The sequence below is a fragment of the Homo sapiens genome, chromosome 16 (genome assembly GCF_000001405.40).
Source record: "Homo sapiens chromosome 16, GRCh38.p14 Primary Assembly".
NCBI lineage: Eukaryota > Metazoa > Chordata > Mammalia > Primates > Hominidae > Homo > Homo sapiens.
The window spans coordinates 49056594-49065765 of record NC_000016.10 but is presented as its reverse complement, the minus strand read 5'-3'; the positions used below and the strand labels follow the sequence as shown (position 1 = coordinate 49065765).

Below are 9172 nucleotides of genomic sequence, written 5' to 3'. Positions count from 1 at the left end.
GTAGGCGAGGTTTTTAATCTATGCCCCCCATTTCCTCCTTAATGAGAAAATAAAGAAACAATGCGTAAAAGCCTGGAGCTATCCTTCACCTGGCTGATAGGCCCTGTTCCCACATTGGCCCTCTTGCCCTGCTCTCCCTAAGTCACCACAACTCCAGAGCTTTTTCAGTGAGCTCATCACAGCAGCCCCAGTGGCCAGTCAATGACTCCCTGCCAGTGGAATTGGTGTCCACCTCACACAAAAAGCAGGCACTAGGGGCTTCCAGGTCCCCTGCCCTAAAGTTCTCTTCTGATGCTGTGATGGTCCTCAGCCAGGCTGCCCTCATTCAGGCCCTGGCAGGCCCCGGCTGGTGGCTGTCCTCACCACACACCTGTCTAGGCTAGGCTGAGTCGGGGGTAGATGGAACCTTGGCCTGGGGCTCAAAACACCAGGCCCCAGGCCCTGCTCTGTTTAACTTGTGAGCATTATGACATGTCCCTTTCTCTCTCTGGGCCACAGTAGCTCCACTTATAAAATAAGGACAGTTGGCTTAGACCAATGGTTCTTGGCCTTTTGAGATCTGAGGGGCCTTTGAGAATCTAAGGCAGCAATGGGGTCCTCTCTTCAGAATAATATCACAAACATGCATGCATAACTAATCCACATCTAATTTTAGCGGTTCAGAAATCTTCTAGAGCCCATTGATAAACCACAGGACAGTTGTGAGGTTCTTTCCAGAAATAACAACTGCACAAGGAGATGATAAACTCTTCTGTTTCCCGCTCTCTCTGTCTCTCAGTGTTGTTATATGAATCAAAGGAGGCAATGTATGGAGAAACTCCTCAAAACCTGTGAAGTGCTTTGCACATGAAAGGGACTGTTCTTATTAACATGTAAGCTGTTCTATAGCTCTTTGTTGACCCCACGATGATAGTAGCTACCATTTATTAAGCACCTACTTAGGATCAGGTGATGTACTAAAAGCTGTCTACATATTATTTAATCTTCAAAATAATCCTTGGAGGTGGGTGCTAATATTACCCCCATTTTTACAGATGAGAATATTAATCACAGAGGTAAATTAATCCTGTCCAAGATTACACAGAAAGTGGCAAAAAACAGGTAAGTTTTGATTGAAAATAGCCGGATAATAGATGCCTGGGTTGCCAGTCACAGAGATGAATTTTATCCAATGGAGGAAATGTTGAAAGTAATCCCTGGACTAGAAGATCAGGGGATCTATTCAAGGACAGACACACACACACACAGGTAAACTCACACTAAAACACACATGCATAGACACACACTCACACACAGGCACTGAAGAACCCAAGTTAGACCAGCATAGATGGATGTAGTAGCAGGAGCAGTCTTGACTGATGTACCTGGAGAGACCAGACAAAGAAGCTAATCAGGTGGCACTTCCTGGAGAAGGTGAAACTGGGCTAAACTTGAAAAAAGGGAAAGACAGATAGTGAACGAGGTGACCTTCCAGGAAGGAGGAGGAATAGCTGTGTAAGCACAGAGGCAGAGGGAACCTGGGGTATCCCAATTTGCAAACATTTCATGAGCACCTACTCTGTGCAGTCCATAGCTGCTCAGTGTCCACTGGGGACAATAAGAAGAATGCAGGGACATCAACCCATGTGGCTCAGGCAGCCACACATTTGTAAAGAGCCCACAATCATGATTTATATATAAATCAGTCAGCTCTGCCGCTGACTGACTATAATGGTGATCATGTTATTTAATCGATCCAGCCTCATTTTTCTTATCTGTAAAATGGGGATAACCATAGGATCTGCAGAGTTTTAGAGTTGTTGAAAGTATTAGATGGGATAATGCATGTACAGGACTTAGCACAGTGCTGGCCAGGGATAAGCCCCAAGCAAGCGGTGGTGAATGCCACCCCCGTCACCATTCATTCATGAGTGTAATGAAGTTATAAGCATGATGTCTGCCACATACCAGGTATTTCTGTATTAGTTTCCCTTTTCTTAAGGCTGCTTCCTGTGCCTGTTCATTCGAGATAGAGGAAAGAATGTTTTATAAGGGTCACAGAGGAAGAGGAAGCCTCCCCTCTGCTCCCTTAACTGATGTCCAGGAAGTGAATTGCACAGTTCTTTAGAAGAAGGATGATGTGCTAATAAACTGCACAGACTCTGAGAACTGGGCACCCAGTAGTGATGGCTCAGTATCTCTGACAGGTGAAATTGAACACTTAGAACATTTCACTTGATTCCTTTCAAACAGAGAGCGAGGCGGCCCACACCTCCACTTTGTCCTTAATTGGCCACATTTTGAAGCACGCTGTTTACTTGTGACCCCGGAGTTAATAAACAGCCAGTCAGAGTCTTCACTGTATCAAAACACAGTTTACAGGAAGGAGATTTGCTGGGTGCCAACAGTCATCTGCTGGGGTTTTAGAGTAAATTACGCATCCATCAATTTCTTCTTTTTTTTTTTTTTTTTTTTGTTCTGGGAGGTATTGTGTCAGGCCAAAGGATCCTTGCTAGATTGAGACCAAAAGATAAAAATACAAATTTACCACCAAAGTCATCTGAAACACAACAGGTCCCAAGTGGTCCCATGTCCTTGTCCTCCTCCCTCCCAGCCAGCCACCCTTCTGCCTTGGCTGGCTCCAAGCTGTAGACTTAGTGTCCTCTTTGCCCCCACCCTCACTCTCCACCTGTAATCAATCACCAAATCTGATGATTCTGCTTCCAGAGAGTCTCTCCACCCATATTCCCACTGCCCCAGACCCTCATCTCCACCACTAATGAGACACCTGCCATTGTCTCCTAACTGCTCCCCCTGATGCTATTCTACTCCCTTTCAAGCTATTCTCCGTGTGGCTGCAAAGGAGATCCTTCTAAAATGCAAATTCAGTTTCATCATGCTCCTGATTAAAACTGTCCAAAGTTTCCCTGTTAACATCAGGATCAAGTCTCAGCTTTAGATAATGGCAGGCAGGGCCCATCAAGATACTGACGCCACTTGCCTCCAGCCCCTGACTTGCCTTCCTGCTCCCTCCTTGCTGCTGTAAGGTAGAGGCTTTAGCAAGACCAAAGCAGTGGTGGCTGCAAAGGACTCACGGTTCTGCCCTGCCATGCACACATCACTTCCATCCCAGCATGCCCTCCTTTCCTTGTTGGGTTGGAAAACTTCATCCCTTCCCCTCCTCTGACACTCAGCTCTGACATCACTACCTACAGGAAGCCTTCTCTGACAGTCACCTCTCATAGAAACAGTTTCTCTTGAAATGACATGAATATATTTCAATTGTTGAATGCATCTCATTGAATTAAAATTCTCTGTATTCAAGTCTGATCTCTATTTCAAACTGGGAACAAGTTGACGTCAGTGTCCTTGAGTCATAAAACCCCAGTGCCAAGCACAGTAGGCTTCAGGTGGACAATTCCACTTTGCCATCACAATGTTCATGTTAAGTAGGGACATTCCTTTCTCAATTTTATAGAGATGGAAACTTAGACTCAGAGAGGTTAAGTAGCTTGTCCAAAATCACACAGGCAGTGTCAGAGACAGACTTGAACTCAGATCTGAAAGACTTGACTGGGAAGAGGTGCTCAAGAAATACTGATTTCTTCATTGAATGTTCATCAGGAGCTCATTTTCTTTTTAAATTGCCACTTCCCCATATCCTGAAGATACATTTAGAAAAAGACCCTAAAGGATCCTAATGAAAATGTTTGGACATATATTTTTGTATTAAATGACTATACCATGTGTGCTTGAGTGGGGAGGGTGGGAGGAGGGAAAGAATCAAAAACCTACCTATCAGGCACTATGCTTATTACCTGGGTGATGAAATAATCTGTACACCAAACCCCTGTGACATGCAATCTACCTATATAACAAATCTGCACATGTACCCTTGAAGCTAAAATAAAATTTTAAAAATAAAAGTAACAAAGGGATACCACCTGTATAACCTCTTCCATAACAAAACTCCCTTGAAATTGGAGTCATGGAAAGAGCTTGAATTTGGAGAACCTGGGGTCCATCCCAGTAAATTCTGATCATTTACTTGCATAAATTTCCTCAAGCAAAAATCTTTGGGTGTTTGCAGTTGGTGAGCATTGGAATGACAAATACCAGGGGGCTGTGTGTGGAGCAGTGACAGTGTCTATTAGAAATAGTAACAATGATAATAACAAGGTTCCAATCATTGAGCATGGACGATGTTCCAGACACAGGACTAAGCACTTGGCAGGACTGCACTCTGATAACTTGCCCAGGATTGCACTCTGCCAGCAGGCAGCAGAGCGGAACCTTATACCCATGGCTACTGAGGCCAGAGCACATGCTCTGATCACTCTTCCACCACTACTCCACTCTGCTGCTTCTTGTGCTCTGCTGAGATTTAAGCAGGTTCAGTAGCTGGCAGGGAACTGCTGAGATGGATTTGCTCTGGTCTGGATGCTCTGACCAGCGCTGTGTGAACAACCTGGGGTATGCATAGGTGCTGTGAAGACCTCCACTACTAGACAGCAAGGATCCAACTGCCTCTGTGAGCCTGGAGTCTATTCTCCCTGTGCTCAAAAGTTCCCTGTACTAAGAGCTCCCTGCACCCCCAGGAATGTAGAAACAAAAAGGGAAAGGGAACAGGGAGCCCCTGCATTCTTGACCTGCCCCACACCCCAGAAAAAATCTTGGCACTTCCCTCAGCCTGGCACTGAAAGAGTTAACCTGAAACAGCTTCCATGATGAATGGCTATAATACTGTCTACGTAATGGATTTCCTATTTAAATTTTGTGAGGATTTAATCAGTTGGGCGCAGCTGTGCAAGATGCACCATAAACTATGTTGAAAAATATGTAGACATATACATTTATCTGCTACAAATTAAGCTCACTTAGAGGTGGTCTTAATGGCCCATGTAGCCATCATTACAAGCATAAATTCTAAACTGTCTGTTTCCAGTGAATTTGCTTTGAGAAAAAAATTAATGCTCATCCTTAGCAGAGCATAGTAATAAATGAAAGGACCCTTAATTTGCAAAGCTCTAATAGCCTGGCCATTTTCCATTAGGAACCCCATGCTGGGTCATACATGGCAGGGTCTCTTCATGGGGGATTCCAGTGCCCAGGCTGGGGAGGGACAGGGGCAGACTTTCTGGAAGTCTACCCTGTGTGGTTTACCCAGTCTTTTCAGAGGAAGGCTAAAATCCTGATTCTAAAGCTAGGAGGTGAGCCTGCAAAAGAATATTAACAATAAAAAAAATATGAGTGCATGTTTCTTTTTGGTACAACGATTTATTTTCTTTTGGATATGTTCATCACGGCACTATTCACAATAGCAAAGACACGGAATCAACCCAGGTGCCCATCAATGGGTGGATTGGATAAAGAAAATATGATACATATGTGCCATGAAATACTATGCAGCCATAAAAACTGAAATCATGTCCTTTGCAGTAACATGGATAGAACCAAAGGCTGTTATCCTAAGCAAATCAATGCAGTGACAGAAAACCAAATACCATATTTTTCACTTATAAGTGGGAGCTAAACACTGAGTACGTATGAAAATAATTAAGGAAACAATAGATACTGTGGACCACTAGAGGGTGGAGGAAGGGGTAGTGAGTAAAAAAAACTACCTATTGGATCCTATGCTCACTACCAGGGTGATGGGATCTGTATTCCAAACCTCAGCGTCACACAATATTCCCACGTAACAAATCTGCACATGTACCTCCTGCATCTAAAACACAAATTGAAATTAAAAAAACAAAAATCCTTCAGTCTTGGCTGCATCCAGTGTGAGTGTGAGTGTGTGTCCAGAGACATACATTCAGATTTGCCCTGGCCATGATGGCAAAATGCACTCAGCACATGGTTAGCCCAACTGCGAGTGTGGATCTGGTGCTAATAGAACTCACAGCATGTGAAAGCTCTCCCACTTTCTCCACTTTCTCTCTAGCACTGGAAAAATGGCACAAAGGAGCTGGGTTTGAATCCCAGCCTGCTACCTTGGCACAGCCTGATCTGGCAGCTTGCTTCTCCAAATAGTCACAAAGAGCTGCCAGTTTGCAAGACATTCTCTCATTTCTCTCTTCACATCTCAGTTGATCCTTACTTCATGACAACCTTAGGAGGTAGGTGCAATTATTTCTCCTATTTTAATAGGGCTGGGGCTAGAGCAAAGCAAAAGAAGCACCCAGGCTACAAGATTTAAGGAAGCACTCACTTTCAAGGTCCTATCAGTGTCAACTCTTCATTTGCATGACCCTGACATGACAGCCTCCTTAAACTTTGCTCCTTAAGTGCCTCTTGCCACACTCTAGTTCCAGCTCTGGATAGGGACCCCAAGGCACAGAGAAGTTAAGTAACTTGTTCAAGGACACACAGGCACTGAGAGAGCTAGAGTACAATTCATGGCCATTTAACTCTGAATTCCAATGTCTTTTCTATATGCCAAATGATGGCCATTTGAATTGAAAAGTTTGATTTATTCAGCCCAAGTTGGGCATTTACTGTGGGCCAAACTATACAGCCAAAGCTTTCACATAAGAAATATCTCATCTCATTTTCTTCGTGGCATCCTTTACTTTCAGAAATAATCTTATCAATTCATTTAAAAAAAAGTTTGTGGCCTGTGTGCCCCACTAGAATATTCACTTTATCCTAGTGGCTAGAGCAGTGCTTGGCACATCGTAGGTGCTCAGTAAATATTTGTCAAATAAATTATCTTATTCAACAAATGTTTAAATGAGAAGTTGTATGAAACTAGTCTGATGGTTCTCATGCCTGGTTCCAGGTACCCCAAAGATGGGATCGAACCACTTAGGAAGTGCCATTTACTTCCTCTCTGCTAAGTGTCAGGTGTTCCCATAACTCAACCATCCTGGGAAAAGGAATTGGTGATGGAAAATCCAATCATAAAAAAATTAAAATCTAGGATGGTTTTGTCTGGTGCTTTTTCAGAAATGAAAAATGCAGAAACACTTTCACCAAAGTGTCTGATGGCAAGAATTGGGGCTGCATTAGAAAGTGGTAGAAGGGGCTGGGCACAGTGGCTCATGCTTGTAATCCCAGGACTTTGGGAGGCTGAGGTAGGATTGCTTGAGGCCAGGAGTTTGAAACCTGCCAGGGTAATAGAGAAAGACTTCTTCTCTACCAAAAAAAAAAAAAAAAAAAAAAAAAAATAGCCAGGTGTGATGGCGCCACCTGTAGTTCCAGCTACTTGGGTTGGGAGGCTGAGGTGGGAGGATCGCTTGAGCCCAAGAGTTCAAATCTGCAGTAAGCCATGATCACACCACTGCATCCCAGCCTGGGCTACAGAGAGAGACCTTGTGTCTTAAAAAAAAAAATAGGCATGGGGAGCAGTTAGAAGAATGAAAATCACAATCTTAAACAAATGATTCTATCAAAACCTGACCAGTTGCAAAGACACCAGCAATTACAGGACTCTTAGAAGGCTCAAGAGAAGCATGTAATAGCTTCTTTTCAAAACTTAAGACAAGCCCCCAGAGCTCTTTTCCTGTGTCCTGCAGGCCCAGCCTTCTCATTTGAGACAAGGCTCCCTGCAAGCCACCTCTAGGAAGACTCCCAGCGTGCCCTGTGCCGTTTCCATAGAAAGCACCAGAGGAGGAAAACAAATCTTTACAGATCTGGCCTACGGTTCTGCACAATTTAACAACTGACAAGCTTGTGGAAATAGGCAGGAATCATTACTGAATTAGCATCATTGCCATTGAAACAGATGATGAAATTAGGAGCAGCCAAAGGGAGCTGCTTGTGCTCCCAGCTGGGTGGCTCATGGGAGCGACCCTTATGGGAAACTGTACTCCCTGGGCAGGCTCTACTGGGAGAGGTCCACACAGGACAGTTTCAGTGGGCACTGGGTGGACTAGGGAGTGGGTGACCATTGAGTATAGCATTGGGGTTCACACAGAGAAAGCCAGACTGCATTCCTGACAGGTCACAGTGATAACATTTAAAGTTAAACATAAATTCACAGATAATACATTTTTATAGCTAGTAAGGGCAGAGGGCTCATCTGAACTTATACCCAGGGCCACACAAAGGTAGGGGCCTCTCATCTGCACTAACAAGCTTCTAAATTAACTTCCTTTTGCCTGTGGAACCCCAGTCTCTCCCTTCCCACCTGACTAGCAAATGCCACTTCCTCTAGGAGGCCCTCTCTGATGTCCTACCCTGCCCTAGACTATCTCAGCGTCTCTGTTGGCATTCTCAGAGCACCAGGTATGTAGAATCAGCCTCCACTTTAGCCCTTCCTGCACTTGGCCTGCTTCCCATGCAGTCCCAGGAGGGCAGAGGCCACAATGTCTCATCCACTGTTGATTCTCATCTCCTATGTCATCTCCCGTCTCATCTTCTATGTCATCTCTGGTCTCCTAGCACAGATACTAAGCACCGCATAATACTTGTAATAAATGAATCAGTGAATCAATAATGGTCTACACCAGGGCATCGCAAACATTTAGGTGCATAGACTCATTGGAGGACCTTGTTAAAATGCAGATTCTGATTCTCAGGATTTTTATTTCTAACAAGTTCCCAGGTAAGATCCCCACAGCTGGTCCTGGTGCCCTACTTTAAATAGCAAGGGTCCATGTTACCATAAAAGACATGTACATGCACTGTTACCAACGCAGAGAAGTGAGGCTTTACCCCCACCCTTATTTTATGAAGCGAGTTGGTCAGGGTGCCTGATATCTTGTTCACACTCTTAATTTTGGGGGAGCAGCTGAGCAGTCAGCACAGACTTTAGAACATTTTTGAAATGCTCTACATGCATGGTAAGTTCTACCCTAAATGAAAGGCTGTTGTTGAAATCCTTCCTATTAATAATACACAGGTAGGACTGCACTAGTATGAGGGCAGCATAGCCCTGCTGTGACATGCTAAGCTCTGGAGTCCAATCTGTGTAGGTTTGTCTCCTGCCTTTGTCACTGGCCGCCTGTGGGGTCCTGGGCAAGTTACTCAACCTTCCTGTGCCACAGATGCCCCCATTTAACATGGAGAGAATTATAACACGTGCCTCACAGTGCTGGGAGGACTAAACAGGAGACACACTCTGGTGGAGTCCTAGGCACTGATCAGTCTCTGCTGTTCTTAATTGTTGCTTAATGCACAAACGGAACTACATCTCTGCCGGACCTCAACCCAGAAGAATAATTCCAGGGCAGCTGCTCAAAACTCA

At 44.5% G+C, this 9172-nt stretch overlaps 1 annotated feature.

The window, feature by feature from the left end:
• Positions 4435–5211: an enhancer, noted in NCBI's record as "VISTA enhancer hs124". NCBI's record gives its function as "enhancer in: neural tube[9/9]" and the evidence as "EXISTENCE:transgenic organism evidence [ECO:0001131][PMID:17130149]".